Raw genomic sequence first — 16,140 nt, 5'->3', positions numbered from 1 at the left:
TTAGTCTTATAGCTAAAATTCAAGCCAGAGACTATGACATGGATATAAATAGACCCAGAGAATCATTATATATAATTTGGAAAGGGTGTCACTGGCATACATCTGTAAGCAGTTCAGGAACACTTTCAAGCTGTGTTTACATGATATCAAACATCTGGATGAAAACTGAAAAAAAAATAATCAATTTGGATTGGAAACAAAGCAGAAGTATAAATTTCAGTGCACTGCACTAGCCTTTGGAATACTGAATGCAGAGCTGATCCCCTTACCCCAGGAATGAGATAATGGTGCTCAAGAAAGGACACTGAAATGACCAAGAAGGAAAGGGGGCTTCTGTGGGAAGGCAGATTAAAAAAAAAAAAAAAAAAAAAAAAAAAAAAAACTAACTCCATTATGCAACAGGAGATGAAAAGGGACAACATCAAAGACTGAAAAACGTAAAGAAAATGAATCTTAAAGCACCAAACTGCTAGAACTGGGAGCTTTGAGGCTTAACGGCAAAGAATTTTTTTCAACTAAAAATCCAATAAATCCTGGTCGTCAGGGAAAGGGGCATTCGGAAACTCAAGATTCTAGATAGCCAACAAATCATTCCTTTAAGTATCACAACCTATGTTCACTTTTCATATAGAACCTTTTCTCAAATATCGTACTTATTCCTGGGGCCTCTTAAAAAGAATACACTCCACCCAGATCACAATACTCCAGCCCTCAGTGTGTAGAGAAACTATGCCACATATCCTTGTGTCCCAATGGTCCTTGTTAAAGGGCTCCAGGACCCCAAAATACTTTAGTTGTTTGTATTTTTTCAGAGTTCTGCTATTTTCTCTTTCCATCATTTCTTGGCTTTTCGTTCTTGCAGCATGCCTTAGGATAAGTTTCTTCAGAAGCTGACCCTGAGTTAAGGACTTGAGAGCTAGTTGTTTGGGAGGCGATCCCAGGAAGTACCAGGAAGCCCATCCAGGTGCATTCCTGAGAGGTTATTTATTTAACCCCTGTGGACAGCTGGGCTTCAATCCTGCCGGAACTTCTATAAGACTATGCAGAAGTGTCCCACACAAGGGGCAGGAACCTAGATTTCATCTCCAAATCTTGCCCATCGTTCTCTAAGAACCACTCCCCTTAACACCCAGGAACTGTCAAAAGCCTTCAGCTGTTTGCAGTAGGAAGTCATCAGGTGAGTAAGAGGTAAAGTGGGTGTGGACAGGAGCACCTCTCTACCCTGCCCTCCTATTCCCATACCTGATAGAATTTTGGGGTAAAGAAAGAAAACTAGACTATGAGTGAGAGCCTGCAGGACTCTCTCCTGAGTAAAAGATACCTTTTCTGATAGCTTAGGGGTCTTTACTTTCTGATTTCTCCCTGGTTCTTGATCATATTTTTTAAAGGTGCTATTATTCAACTGGCAGTTAAAAAAATTTTTTTGGTCATTCAGAAAGTCCAATCTAATTAATTTTTGAAGCAAAGTAAGAGTCCACTAAATGGCAGGTAGTGTTAGGTAAACTCCCTAGAGATGAAAACTGACTTGCTAGTCTTACCTCAAGTAATGGGAAACGACCAGACCTCCTAAAGAGTCAGTGTGCAAGTTAGGGCTACTGTCCCAAGAAGGACACCTGAGTCCAAATGGGGAAACCACGGCAAAACCCAAGCACACTGGTTTCCACACTCTGTGAGGCAGAGCCAAAGGGGAAACTGTGGGTCAACGGATATGCAGGGACCCAAGGCACAAGGGATGCCACGTTACAAACAAGACTCATCCCCTTATCTTTTCATCTTCAGAGGGGAAAGGGACTTGGTCAGCACTGGCTCAGGAACTGGCAGAGAAGGAAGTATAGGGGCGGGGAGGCTTGTGCAAAGCATGCAAGGTGGCGAGCTGAGGATGCACAGAGCTGGCATCTGAAGAGGGCCAGCACAGGCAGCCCATCTCTTATTTAGTGCCCCACATCAAATTCATGAACAGCCAGAATAAAAATCCAGGTGTCTTCACTCCAACACAGCAGAAATTACTCAACATTGATTCACTTAGAGGCAAAGCTAAGAGGATGTGGGTTCCAGGAACACAAGGGCACGCTGGCCAGAAGGTCCCATGAGGATAATTCAGAGAGAAGGGCCCAAGGCCAGGTCAGAGAGCCAAAACCTCCAGCCATCACAGCAAAGCATCCACTGGCAGGGAGGAGACAGCCTTAAGCTGGGGGAAGGAGGGGCCAGGAGTGCACTCATCAGGGACGAGGCTGCAGCAGACAGAGAGCCAGGGGAAAGACACGCAGGAGCAGGGCAGAGAGCAGAAACAGACTGACATGGCGCAGATGCAGGACATGGCTGGGTATGACAAACTCCTTGCTGCGTGGACTCTGGGTAGTTCTTTGTTTTGGTGTATATTCAGGACTCTCCTGTGAGTGGGGAGCATAGCAGGATAGTAAAGAGGCCGGCTTTAGGATGGCTGAGAAAGCTCGAACTCTGGCTTGGGTGTAGCTGGATTTGGGCAAGGCTGGATAAGGGGAGACAGCCAAGAGAGTCCTGTTGCAGCAATCAAGACACAGGAAAGAGCTGGGAGGAGGGAGCCCGTGGAGATGGAAAGGAAAGGGTAAAATCAAGAGACTCATGGTAGAAATAGCATCAGATGTTGATAGGACTTTGGATGGCAGCATGGAAGCAAGGAAGACAGAAATAAGGGCACTAATTTGGAGACTATGAGCCTGGGGAACTGGGAGGCTGCTGGCACCTTCAGTACAATGGAGATGTGATTGTTGGAAAGACGTGATTGAGGTGAGAATGGTTGCACTGACCTCACCCTCCACTCTGCACTAGCGGAGGAGAGCACGTTGGGAAGTGATTCCTGGTTTCAGAGGCTCTCCTCTTTCCTGCCAGTAACTCTCATTCCTCTTAACTCTTGCAGCAATATCACCTATACTAAGGAAGTAGGCACATGTCCCACATGCTTGTTTCCTAGGACAGAACCCAAATATTTGATCCTTGGACTTACGAATTTCATCAAGAGAAGTTAAAGTATGAGTTACAGGAATGTGGAGGATGAACCGAGTTCCTGGGTTTTCGACAACTATGTGACTGAGACAAAATATACATTAGAAGAAAGTAACACGGAGTTTGGAAGGATAGAAGACCACAGTTCACAGTACAACTAACTGGAAATATGGTGTCAATGTGTCTGTTTCAGAGGAGAACCAGTCCACTTGAATGAGGTCACTGTGACTCAAACATTATGCTGTAATGTTATCCTGAAAGAGCTTCAATAAATCTAACCACTCATGAATGTCTAGATAACACAAATTTGGCAAGATCTAAAAACTAGCTAAGATTGATAGTGACAGTCAAAGGAGAAAGTTGTTAAAACACTGGAAACTCTCATGGGATGATGTCTGTTAATGATTTGAAATGAAATAAAGTTGATATCCTTGGCCATGGAAGGAATTCCCTTCTCTGCAATAATGTTTGAGGTGTTAAGATGCCCACAGGCACAGTCAAGAGGCCAGAGAAGTAATGGAGAGAGGCCCAGGTGTCTTACTAAGGGATAACATTAACTTATGCCTCCTCAGAGAATGAGCAAAGGCTTATGGCAACCAGGCATGGAAGATTCCTCTTTTAGAAGGGTTGATAGCTTCAACCAGGCAGATTGCTTTGAACACCGAAGGGAGGGATCCGTTTAAGGACAATGCCAAGAGAAGACTTGGCGGGAAAGAAAATGTTGGATAGATAGAAGAGAGGAATGGAAAGTTTGAAGACCCAGAAAAGAAGAAAAGGGAAGGGAAAGGGGAGGAGATGGAGGGAAGCTGAGGGAAGAGAAGGGGAGGAGAGGGGAGAGAGTCTTTGATAAGATAAAGAAATTGAAAAGAGGCATTGGTCAAGTCCTGCTTTTGTTAATTCCACTCCAGATGTATATGGTCTAGTAGAACACTGGTGTACAGGAGGTAAAAGGAGAGGAAAGATCAGTAATGGGGAGAGAGATTTGGGAAGTGAGGGTGGAAACCAAATGAAAACTGGATGTAGTAAAGGAAGTAGCAGGAAGTCACTGCTGTCCTGGGCTGGAGTAGAAGGGCTATAAAGGAGCATGGTAATATGATGGGAAATCCTGAAATAGGGCCAGAGACATGGGTTCTGGTCCCATTTGTTCTTAACTCTGGGCAAACCACTTCACCTTTCTAGATTTATTTCTTCATATCTAAAGTGATGGGGTTAGACCAGGTGACCTTGAACATTTCTTCCCCCTTCTACAGCCCTCGACTGGGTGTAGATGTTATGAAATCAGAGACTTACATAAATGGAACCTTCCAGATTGGAACATGTATTTAGCTTTTCTAAGTAGAAAATGCTTTGAAGGGAGGAACAAAAGGTTCCACTCAACACTTGGCGAGCGATATTTGTTCTGTAAAATAATTAGTGAGTAAGCATTATTGAACTGGGTTGTCACATAAACATGAGAGAATTAAAAGAAAAAAACAAATTTAGGAGACTCAATTTTCCCTTCCATAGATCAGAAGGATGATTAACATAAACCACGAGAGGATACTTTTAAAGACATGCGCAGGAGGAGAGTCAGCATCAGATGAAAGCATGCCTGTCTGGGGAATAGGAGCCTTGAGTTCTAGTCTCAGCTCTGCCACTCCCAGGACTTGGACACATCATTTCCTTTCCATGTCTCAGTTTCCAAAGGAATCCAAAAAGTCGTGGACTCCAGCCTCCCACAATACCCCTACCCATGGTCATCTAGTTGTAATCATTAAAAAACACTTTCTTATTCCTGTACCACTGGTACATGTCTGTATCAATGAGGTCTAACTAGGAAAATATTTTACTTATTTTCTTTTCTTTTTCTTTTCTTTTTTTTTTTTTTTTTTTGAGACAGAGTCTTGCTCTGTCGCCCAGGCTGGAGTGCAGTGGCGCAATCTCAGCTCACTGCAAGCTCCACCTCCCAGGTTCACGCCATTCTCTTGCCTCAGCCTCCCGAGTAGCTGGGACTACAGGCGCCCGCCATCACGCCTCGCTAATTTTTTGTATCTTCAGTAGAGATGGGGTTTCACTGTGTTAGCCAGGATGGTCTCGATCTCCTGACCTCATGATCCGCCCACCTTGGCCTCCCAAAGTGCTGGGATTACAGGCTTCAGCCACGGCGCCCAGCCTACATATTTTCTGTCTTTCTTTCTTTCTTTTTTTTTTTTGTTTGAGACAGAGTTTTGCTCTTGTTGCCCAGGCTGGAGGGCAATGGCGGGATCTCAGCTAACTGCAACCTCAACCTCCCGGGTTCAAATGATTCTCCTGCCTCAGCCTCCCGAGTAGCTGGGATTATAGGCATGCACCACCACGCTGGGCTAATTTTGTATTTTTAGTAGAGACAGGGTTTCTTCATGTTGATCAGGCTGGTCTCGAACTCTTGACCTCAGGTGATCCGCCTGTCTTGGCCTCCGAAACTGCTGGGATTACAGGCGTGAGCCACCACGCCCCGCACTATTTTACATATTTTCAAAGGAGATCATGCAATGCAGGTAACTGGCTACACAGGTCTGAGAAGCCAAACAGAGGATAGTGAGGTAATCTAGGCATTAGCAGCAGCAGGAAGTCACTGCCACCCTGGGCTGAAGGACGAAAGGGAGGAGGTGCTGTTACTGGAGCCAAGGGGTTGGGGTCACCTCATGAAAGCTGGAACCACAGCAGGTCCATTTGGTAGGAGCTGGAGTCACAGAGGAGATATAGCAATTGTCAAAGGTGCCAAGATTAAGGGATAGAGGATAGGGGAGAATATTCCTTCCCTGACCTGCCCATCTTCTGCCAGTGCCTCCCACTGGCTGTATCCAGCTAGAAAACAGCTAGTACAGGGGCCCGGCAAATGCAGCCTGTAGGGGTCAGCCCCTTTTCCATACAGAGGATGGAAAGGGCAAGGACAGGCAGGCCAGGACTGGCACAAGATCCAAATTCTCCCTTCTTATAACTTTTATCCATTAGTCCCACATCAGCCTAGAATCTAAGTCTCTACACATTTAAGGACATCCATCCAGTCATGCCTTGTTTGTTTGTTTTTTTTCCTTCTCCAGCCTGACATTCAAACTTTCTCATACAGAATGGTTTCCAAACCTCTTTCATCATCTTGATTCCCCCACCTTGGGGAGATCCCTGATATGTCTTCTTAAAATGTGGCACCAGATGTTCATAAGACCCCAGGTGTCTGTAAGACTAGCTCCAATACAGAAGAACTATTCCTGCCCTTATTGTAGCAATACAGCTATTATCCCACTGTTGACTCATGTTGCTCTTATGGACAACTAAGACCCACATGTCTTTCCCATATGATTTTGTCTTCTCTTACCTGTGTTAGTATGGTAATCTATACCATTGATAAGCACAAGCATCAAATTCTTTCTCTAAATCACTACTCTTGTTGTTGTCTTTAAAAAAAAAAAATAAGTAGAATAAACTAGAGCCAAGGGCAGAGCTCTGTGTCACTCCACTGGATACCTCCTTCCTAGGTAACTCAAAGCCATGAATCAAAGCTCACTGGGTAGGATTGTTCAACCTACTCCAGATCCACCTAGCAGCAAGGAAACTGTGTAAGACCTCCTCAAAACTTAAATCACAACATATGGTATCTGTGACAGTCACTTCCCTTCATTTTGCACCTGAAACACAGAGGATACTCAACAAATACTTGATACATCCCAAGTCAAATAAAATTATCTTGATTTATATACTTCATGACTCTGTTTAAAGAAAGTTAACATGGTTATTTTAGCAGGACATGGTAAGGAACCCATGTTGGCTGCTGGTGATCACCATTCTCTTCTTTAACCATTTATAAACCTGTTTGTTTCAGATTTTTGCTAGACAGCAACAAAAAACTCATCAATTGGTTATTTCCGGAATCAACTCCTTTCTTCCCTTTGAGAACTGGGGTAACATTGCCCCACCCAGTCTTTGGGTACTTTCCTATCATCCTGAAAACCACAAAGACTCTAGTTGCCGCTGAAACCTCATGGGTCTTGATTCCGTCTTCTCTCCTGTGGGAATAATACTGACCTTTTCTATGCCACAAAGCTGTGTAAGGATCCAGGAATATGGGAAGGCACTGGGCAGAGCTCAACAGTCACTTAGGGTACCCACATACAAGCTGTGTAGATGCTTGTAAGAACAGCTCTCATGCAGCAGTGGAGTCACATCCCATAGCCAAAATGAATGCCACAAGTGAGATCACACACCATGTGTGATCAGGGAGGCTCTCAGTGAACCTAAGATCCTGGTGCTGCTATTTAAAGGGCTTATAAATAACCCCATAGGGTTGGGCTAGGGCACAACAGAGGTTGGGCCCATAGAGTTTTCTTCTCTCTCTCTCTTTCTCTTCTCCCTTTCTCCTTCTCAATTTCCCTCTCCCTTTGTATCAGTGCTTTTGAGTCACTATAATTGCATTAACCACCAAGAAAGCTATCCTGCTGGCAGCTCAGGAAGCAGAAGCTAAGAACCCAGGAGAACAGCTGGATGCCAAAGTTGCCAGCCTCATCCACCCTCTGCCTCCTACAAGGGGTCTGGACTTGGATGGGGCTGTGCAGAGGACACACTGCCCACAAAGAAAGTGTGGAAGGAAACTTTGCATTCTTCTCCTAAACCTCCTCTGGGCTCAACTGATGCTGGACAAATGCAAGAATGAACTCAAATAACCCACCTGCTGCCTAGTGGAGATTATACCCATGAAAATTCTTGATAACCTTAAAGTCTTGGGATATATACAGCAATTATTTTGTTAGTTGCAATTTTCTTTCTTGTTTCTCTCTCCCAAGGAAAACGAAGGAGGCTGAAAGTTCACAGGCATTGATTAATGATGTGTGCAAAGATTTAGACACGAGGATATTGATTGATGCTATTATAGCAGAAAATTGGAAACAACCTAACTGCTCAACAATAGAGGATTGTTTAAATACATATGGTATACTCATCCAGTAGAATATTGTACAGCTATTAAAAATCATGTTATCAAAGAGTAGATGAAATGATGTTCACAACATATTGTTAAAAGGAAAAAGCAATTTACAAAAGCAGAATACTGTACACACACAGAAGGAAACTTCTCAAAAGATATGTTAACCGTGACTGCAATTAGTAAAATTACGAATTAATTTATATTCTTTTTTGTTTATATGTATTTTCCAATTTTTCTAGTAATCTGCATTACTTTTTAAATAAGAGGGGAGACAAATAAAAGCTTATTTTTACTGGCAAGAAAGAAATAGGAAAGCTCCCTTTCTCAAGGCTGTCTTCTAGCACCATGTTCTGTTAGATGGATATCAAGCTAGCTTGGACCCTGCTCTCCAGCTTACCTACAGTCCCATGGAGGCCCCCTCAGCTCTGGGTAGAAGCTTCCTTGGGACCAAAGTCTACCTTGAGACAAATGATTAAAAATAGGGCCAACCTTTCACCTCTAAGGACCAAAGGCCACTTCAGCCTACAGAAAACAGCGGTTCTAGAGCTGGTGGGTTTTCAAAGCAGAGCAGCAGTCCTAGCGTGTGAAAAGTATCTCCTTCCCTCCTCCCACTGCTGAAGGTTTGCAGACAGCTCCCTTTCCATCCCACAAGAGGAGACAGGCAGATGAGTCATAGCACTGGCTCAGATTAAAGGAGTATTATTGTGTTAGCAGAAATGGATCTATTTTATTATCTGTTTCTTGACACCTTACAAATAGATACGCTTTACCCACCAGACAGGCAATTTCCTTAAAAAGCCAACAATTTTGTTCACTCTAGTTAAGAAATGACCAATGAGTGGTAGAAACTCGTATATCTGAAGAGCTGCCAGGCTGAAAAGATGTAGTGGAAACACTGAGGAAGGTGGCTTATAACCCTCAGACTCTAGATTCAAGTCTGCAAAGTGATGCCATTTTTCTAAAAATATACAGAGGAACTACAGAAACCCTTTCCCTTTTTCTCTTTCTTAAGAGTTTTTCCCCCCCCACAAGAAATATATCAGAACTGGTTTGTAAAAGGAGATTCACCACCTCAGATTTCACTGTTTTAGTGGGGTTGATGGTCATAGGATACTATTTTAAGGACTTCCTTCTCTTACACAGATTTTTCCATACTGGGAGGAGAGATAAGGTATGTTCCACTAATGTTCCTCATTAAACTCACACGCATGCCAGTAGTCATTTCCCTTTGTCTTGCTGTCCCATGACAACAGATTGTACATCATAGGAAATTGGAATCGAGACCTTGTTTAGTTTGGATCTCTCTTCCCCATTGTCTAATTCCACATTCAATTCAATTTTTCATTCTATGTCTGCCTCGTTTAGCAGAAATATACTATGAATGAATATAGGAGCAGGTAAATGAATAGGCATTATCTAAGAACTTCACTCAAAGACTTTTCAGGATACCTTGACCAGTTCTTTCTCTCCCCCCCATGCCCAAAGCATTTATCTCTGGGTCAAAATGTGCTAGATACTTAATGAAGACCTGACGACTGATGAGCATACATGTGTTGTAAATGTGTGTTCTCAGTACATTGTTTACTGTTGATCAAATTCCAGTAGCTTCTCTGTTTCCTTTTTGCTGTTATTCATACATGTCTCTGTGGTCTGTCTCCCTCACACTGCAACCCAGGCTACCTGTCCATTAAAACAAAAGCAAAACCAAAAAAGCTTCCATGAAGTGCAAGGAAAGGAGGTCTAAGGAAACAGGGAAAGTTTCACATTTCCTGTTATTGAATCTAGGCACAACCTTTAGAGGAAGCTGAATGCCTTTTGAATCCCATATGCTCTGTTCTGTGAAGCTATCATTGTTGTTTTACCTTATAACTGAAAAGCTATTATGGCAAACTTTTTAAATGATCCCAGCTATTTGTTTTTCGAGTATCATCTTGTATCCAAATTTTGCCATTACTTTTTTCTTTCTTTCTTTTTTTTTTTTTTTTTTTTTGAGACAGCGTGTTGCTCTTGTTGCCCAGGCTGGAGTGCAATGGCACGATCTCGGCTCACTGCAACTTCCGCCTCCTGGGTTCAAGCGATTCTCCTGCCTCAGCCTCCCGAGTAGCAGTGATTACAGGCATGCACCACCACACCTGGCTAATTTTGTGTTTTTAGTCGAGACAGAGTTTCTCCATGTTGGTCAGGCTGGTCTCAAACTCCCGACCTCAGGTGATCCACCCGCCTCAGTTTCCCAAAGTGCTGGGATTACAGGCGTGAGCCACCGTGCCCGGCCCCCACTTTTTTCTTTTCATTAAAAAATGCAACTCTAAAATATTTTGTTTTTCTAAATGGGATCCATTCAATCTAAAAATTAGTGTTCTTTCCAGTTATCAAACATTCACTGTGTGCCAGGCATTGGGTAATAGCTTTCATACTCATTATTTCATTTATTTACAAACACCCTATGAAGGAGACACCAACACTTGAGGAAACCGAGAGAGGTTTAGCCATTTGCCCAAGATAACACATCCACTGTGGGGCTCTTTTGACCATTTCATCAATATCCATCCAACTTGTATCACTAGAGTCCATGAGCTTGGCCATCCTTTGTTTTCTGAAAACACAAAGTAGAGTGGTATTTGCACTCTGTTAAGCCCACACTTCACTAAAGACGGCAGCCTTCAGGTAGACCAGAAGCCAAAACTCACTTATGACACTGTACCATAGCAGTCAGGAGCAGATCTGGACATCAGACCTGATTTCAAGTCCCAGTTCACCCACCTACTGGACGACCTGAGACCACAGGGACATCATCTGCTGTCTCTGAGACTTTTCCCATCTGTAAAATGGGAATGAAAATAAGTTGAATTCTATGAACTTGCCAACTTTCAACCATATTCTACTTCCAAAAAGTATTTTCAAATGGTGCAACCTAAATTCTTCACTGGGTCATTGTACAGATTAGATGAGGACACAAAGGGAAATGTTCAGTAAGTGGCGCTTTTTAGCAGACTTTTTCTTCTTGATTTTCTTTTGCTCTGGCCAATAATTTGCATTCTCTGGGCAGACTTTACAAGCAGAGAACCCAGCTTGAGGCTTTGTGAGTGTAGGAGCCTATAATAGGGAGGCAATAAGAGCATATAGATAACCAAGAATTAACAACAACAAAAAAGGCCTCGGTGCTCCGTGCATTTCCCCCCTCGTTTGGGCTCTTAATTAGTAAATAGGTTTACAAATGCTTTTTTTTTTCCTTTCATAAAGGATGGTGTTACGGAAGTTTAGCACTCTGTGTTTAATCCCATCAACAAAGAAAAGCTTTTAAAATTAATTCTGGCCCCTCTAGTCGAGGGCGCGAAATAGCACGGCTGCTTGATTGGCAGGGTGGCTCCAACCTTCCAGGCGAGCCAGTGTTCAGACTCACCGAGCCCCCGGAACCCGCTTCACCACCGCTTGCCCCACCTGCCCTGCCCTCGCTGGCAGAAGACTCAAACAGCCGGAGTTAGCATTACCTGCCTGTGTGTTTACTTCGTCACTAGGTGCCAGGCCCAGCGCTCGGTCCCGCACACGCCTTGTCTTACTACTTTCCACAACAGTCCAACTGTCATCTCCCCCCACCCCGCCCCCTTCCCTTATTCCCCGCTCCCTTCCCTTATTCCCCGCTCCCCTTCCCTTATTCCCCGCCCCCCTTCCCTCATCTTCCTAGTGAGAAAACAAACACAGGTCTCGTCCAAGGTCTCTGAGCGGAGGAGTTGGACTCGAACCCTGGCAACCCCATAAGTCGGAACACTCGGAACCTCTCCTTTCCTGCGCGAGTTGAAGCTCTTTTTCACCTAGTAATTTTACAAACTTGGCCTCACCCTAGGGAAGGGGCTCGGCCTTGCAGACCAGCACAACCTCGCCGCGCGAGGCAAGTCCAAGGGCTCCGACGCAGGGCGCGGGTAGGGAGGCGCGGCGCCGCCCCCGGGATATTTAACCCCAGCCTGGAGCCCGCCGGGCGCCGGACGCTCGGGCTCCTCGGCGCTCGCGCCTCCCCTCCCTCCTCCCGGCTGTCTCCCGGAGCGCCCCACCCTCCGCCCTGCGCTCGCCTCGCGCGCAGGCACCGGCCGGCGGGCGCGGGGAGCGGGGCGCGGCGGCGCTCGCCTCTGCGGAGCCGCCCCCTGGCCGCTGCCGCCGCGCACCGCCCAGCCCGCGCCGCCCGCGCCGCCCGGGCTCCAGCCGCCCCGCTGTCCGCCCTGAGTGCGCCGCGGCTGCCCGAGCGCCCCGCAGACGGGCGGGTGGCCGTGGACGCCCAGCCAGCAGCCCGCAGCATGGATTCGGATTCCGGGGAGCAGAGCGAGGGCGAGCCCGTGACCGCCGCAGGTACCTAGGGGCCGCGACGGCCCAGGCGGGTGGGCTGGGGCTGGGGAGGACGGGAGGCTGGGGCATGAAATCGGGAAGCCGATCCTCAGCAGCCCGACCCCTTCCAGGCCAAGACTGGGGATTGCTCCGCGTCGTGAGTTTGCTTTGGGGCTTCCCCCAACCCCATTGCACTTGGGCGCGCGGGAGGGAGGGAAGGTGCATTTAGGGGTGGCTCTCCTTGCTGCCAGTCTCCCGCGGCGGGCTCTGGTCGCCCGGGCTGGGTGGGGGCGGGGAAGGGTTCGGGAATCCGCGTACTGTAGTTTGCTGCAGAGAGGGTTGCAACACATCTGCCTTTTGAAATAACTTTCCGAGCGCGGGCCGGGTCCTCGAACCTGGGGCGCCGGGACTGCGCTGCGGCGCAGGTGACTGGGTCCAAGAACGTGACTGGGGGCTCTGAACAGAAAAGGCCTCGCGAGTGGTTGGGGCAGGGGTCAAACCACAGCTTGCGGCCGCGGTTCCCGAGGCTGCTAGGAGAGCCCATGCACAGGGTCCATCGCTGCCGCGCAGCCGGCGGAGAAGGTCCAGAAGGTCCCCGCGGACTGGTCCCCGAACACAGACGCAGGGGCGCGCGCCTCCCGACTTCGCCTTTAAGAGGCCCCGCCGGCTTTTCACAATCGATAGTTATTAAAGCAATAGGTGGATGCTTACTTAGGGAAGAAAAAAAATGAATGTCCTCCCCCGCCTCTCCCTGATACTGAGCAACAGGAGGAAGCCACCCACAGCCGTGGGTCGACTTGCCGCCGGTCTCTGCCCACCTCCACCGGTCCGCTCCGCCCCCCACCCACGGGTCTACGCACCTAGGACCCGCTCGCCCTCCTCACGTGCCCACAGCTCCCGGCGCTTGTGCAGCTCTGAAGGTTAGCTGTGGGCCTGCAGACCCGTGACCTGCGGGCTGGGACCCTCCTGTACAGACCGCGGCCCTGGCTAAGCCCCCACTCTTCCCAGTGTCACACTAGAGTACTGACGGTGGGGACCAAGTAACAGAAGGCACCATCAGTCCAGCCGTGGGTGTAGGAAAGAGAGGTTCGGGAACCAAGCAGGACAGTGCCCTGCGTATATTATTAATACCCTTTCATCCTCACAGCCCCTGGCCAGGCAGTTATTTTCATTTTACAGAGATTCCCATAGAGTAAAGGGCTTGCCCACTTCTCACAGCCAGGGAGTAGCCAGGACCCAGTGACGCCCTTCACCCTGCATCAGACCCCACAGAGGGTGGCTGTGGCCCGCACCTTTGGGTGGGTGGGAAGGGCCAAGGCTGGCGGAAAGGAAATGCCAAGATGCGTGTATTTAAGGATTCCTGTGTGTGTGCAAGTGCCACCTGCTTTGCCTAGGTATGATATAATTCATAAACATGAGCCCTTTGCATGCCTGTATGTTTCTGTGACTATAAAGTGCTGAGATTTTGCTTCACAGGTGACTTGTGGATCTCCTCTCATCATTTAAAAGTTCCAGTAGATGTTTTGTGTGTATCTATTTCGAGAGCGCAAGCGGGAAGGGGACATTGACCCTGACGCTTAACTCTCTCAAAATCCTAAGAACAACATTCTCTGTGCTCCCCTGCCCAACCCTCTATCTCTTCTTCTGGTTGAAGTTAAGGGGTTGAGGGAGAAGCGGGAGGAGGATAAGGAGGCTTAGAGAAAGAGGAAGGAAGAGAAGCCGGGGGCAGGGAGGAGAATCTTCAGAATCCCTGGTACTTGGGTGAAAGGGAAGGAAAAGAATTCTGCTGCACCCTGTTGTTTTCTCTCTCCAGCCTGACCCAGTGTTTAATATCCCTGTTGTATTCACGGTCAGTTTGTGTCAGAAGGCCTCTGCGTAGCTGACAGCAAACATCACTAAGGTCAGATGGGCCCCATGAAGAACAGGGCAGACAGCTCTCGTGAGCTGTCACTATTTGTTTGCACCTTACTGTTTTCTGCAGTTGTTTCTTCTTTCTGCGTGTGCTTGAATCTCACACGTTGAACATGTATTTTAATGTCACAAGCCATTCTGCTAAATGGCAGTCAGTCTCACGCATTATATTCCATCTTAAAGTATTCTCCTGTATGACAGTGCTTCAAAGCTGGATGTTAATTCACCACCTTGCTAGGGCTGCATCCTGTCAAATGGAAACCGTTGTTGCAGATTCAGATACAGGTTAGATAACAGGTGTGTTCTCCTTAGAGATTGACCTTTGTCTCTACAAGAAACTTGACATTCATCCATGGACCTGTATCTATGAAAGCTGAATGGGTGTAACTGAGAAGTACAGCAGAGTGAGTGGGACCTCTTGGAGTACTTATATGTGTGTGTGTACCTGCCTCACAGGGAGTTGAGACATAAGGGCTGCTTCCTCATCCATGCCTTTCCATTTCCTGAATTTATGAAAAAGCCCTGCCATAAGATGGACATTGTAAGTGTAAAAGGCTGGACTCTGGAATTGAACAGACCTGAGTTTCAGTCTGCACCTCATGGGCAAGTTATTTAACATCTCCAACCTCAGTTTCCCACTCTGTAAAATGAGGATAACAGTAGTACCACAGGGGTTTATGAAGATTCAGTATAATAACACGAGAGGTGTTCCTGGTAATCATTTAGTAAATGGTAGCTGTTATTTTGATTATTACCTGATTGGATTATTTGTTGTAAGAATACTGCTAAATAATGAACTCTAGTGTTTTAAAATATAAATGCATGTTTAAAACAATTAATGTTGCTGCTGTTATTATCACATTAATATAACTGCCTAAAGAGATTTGTTTTGAATTTTCTCCTTTTCAGTCTCTTGTTCATTATCTCTGGTGTGTGCACGTGTGTGTGTGTGTGTGTGTGTGTGTGTGTGTGTGTGTGTGCTTGAGGAGGTCTTTTTAGTTTACCTCTTCTCATCTTCATCCATCTTCCAGCACAAGGCATGAAGATGGGGATATTCCAACCTGCTGCTTTCACCAGCTTCTCCTATGCCTCTAGGGAAAGTTATAAAAAAAACAGAACCCCTTACTCAGTCCACCTGCTAATGTGGAGATGAAAGCGTTTCTTCTTTCATGGTGCTTCAAGTGGAAGAAGAGGAGGCAATCCCCTGCCCTCCACCTCCCACATTCCATTGGTAAACCTTTTCCCTTCAAGGTGGCAGGAACCATCATGGTCACCTTTCTAGTCACCTATTGGCAGAGGACAAAGACAACTCACTTTTTACTGTACTACTTTCAAGAGACTCTTCCAAAGTTCCCCCCACTTTGTGCGTGCAGAGCAGATCTCTCATAGAGCAACACGCTGCAGTGGAGGGTGGGGCGGAGGATGAAATTTGTCTCCATCTGCATTTTCTGTTTTTCAGGAAGCACAGAATGATGCTTCTATGTCATTGTGCTGCCTGCATTCTCCTCTGCCTTTCTGTCATTTTATGGATCTTTCTATGATTAGGGAAGAGGCAAGGTTTATGGAACACTGGATTCTTTCCAGAGACCCAACTTGGCACTCTTTCCTTTGGCAAACCCACCATCCATCTCTCAGAAATCCTAGAGCTTGGTGTATTCACTTGGGAGTGGTTAAGTCTTTCCTAAGAAGCAACAGGAGAGTAAACAGCGACGTCAGTTTTTTCCCCTTTCTGGCTTGGAAGATCAAGACAGCCTACCCAGCTGAGGGCAGATAAGCTCCTTCCTCCCACAAATAGATGGTCCAGGGCAATCAAGCTGATGGTGCCCTTGTGCCTGGGTCGGTGCTGCAGAAAAGCATTTCCATGTGATGGAGTCAGAATGTGGTAGGGGAACCACAAGAGAAAAACAGGACTGGGAAAACACCAGGCCCCTAACTCTGCCCTTCCTCTCCCTCTCCTCCCCTACATGCTTAGCTTGGTCCACATGAACCAACTGAAG

The 16,140-nt window shown here is 46.6% G+C and overlaps 1 protein-coding gene and 3 long non-coding RNA genes across 6 annotated transcripts in view, besides 2 other annotated features; 2 read left to right on the top strand and 2 right to left on the bottom strand.

Annotated features, from left to right (window-relative positions):
* MIR4713HG (MIR4713 host gene) overlaps positions 1-16,140 on the bottom strand; it is a 256,425-nt gene that overhangs the window by 187,113 nt on the left and 53,172 nt on the right. The gene's annotated exons all lie outside the window — the stretch shown is intronic.
* Positions 1,524-16,140, top strand: part of TNFAIP8L3 (TNF alpha induced protein 8 like 3) — a 48,676-nt gene continuing 34,059 nt past the window's right edge. Inside the window, exons 1-2 of one of the 2 annotated variants that reach the window (NM_207381.4) lie at positions 1,524-1,795; positions 12,113-12,256. In NM_207381.4, the coding sequence (NP_997264.2) occupies positions 1,624-1,795; positions 12,113-12,256 (316 nt within the window). In that variant the 5' untranslated portion in view covers positions 1,524-1,623. Of the gene's footprint in view, positions 1,796-11,893; positions 12,257-16,140 lie in introns of those variants that run through there. The other variant, NM_001311175.2, reaches the window with a different exon arrangement.
* Positions 2,222-3,425, top strand: LOC124903492 (uncharacterized). Its single transcript, XR_007064633.1, has 2 exons — positions 2,222-2,323; positions 2,897-3,425. It is a non-coding gene; the product is annotated as an uncharacterized LOC124903492 (long non-coding RNA).
* On the bottom strand, positions 10,318-11,857 carry LOC124903491 (uncharacterized). Of its 2 annotated transcripts, none has more exons than XR_007064631.1 (2): positions 11,755-11,857; positions 10,318-11,011 (listed from the first exon to the last, which is right to left on the bottom strand). It is a non-coding gene; the product is annotated as an uncharacterized LOC124903491 (long non-coding RNA). The 2 variants fall into 2 exon arrangements; XR_007064632.1 differs by lacking the exon at positions 11,755-11,857 and adding an exon at positions 11,407-11,463.
* Positions 12,142-12,872: an enhancer, noted in NCBI's record as "H3K27ac-H3K4me1 hESC enhancer chr15:51386125-51386855 (GRCh37/hg19 assembly coordinates)". NCBI's record gives its function as "activates a minimal SCP1, AML or CMV promoter by ChIP-STARR-seq in naive H9 embryonic stem cells {active_cell/tissue: H9 hESC(naive)}" and the evidence as "EXISTENCE:reporter gene assay evidence [ECO:0000049][PMID:30033119]".
* Positions 12,370-12,419: a silencer, noted in NCBI's record as "silent region_6431". NCBI's record gives its function as "represses an Ori minimal core promoter by ATAC-STARR-seq in GM12878 lymphoblastoid cells {active_cell/tissue: GM12878}" and the evidence as "EXISTENCE:reporter gene assay evidence [ECO:0000049][PMID:35858748]".

Source organism: Homo sapiens, chromosome 15 (assembly GCF_000001405.40).
Source record: "Homo sapiens chromosome 15, GRCh38.p14 Primary Assembly".
Classification (NCBI taxonomy): Eukaryota; Metazoa; Chordata; class Mammalia; order Primates; family Hominidae; genus Homo; species Homo sapiens.
Note: the sequence above shows the minus strand (reverse complement) of the source record. Positions and strands in the feature narration are given on the sequence as shown.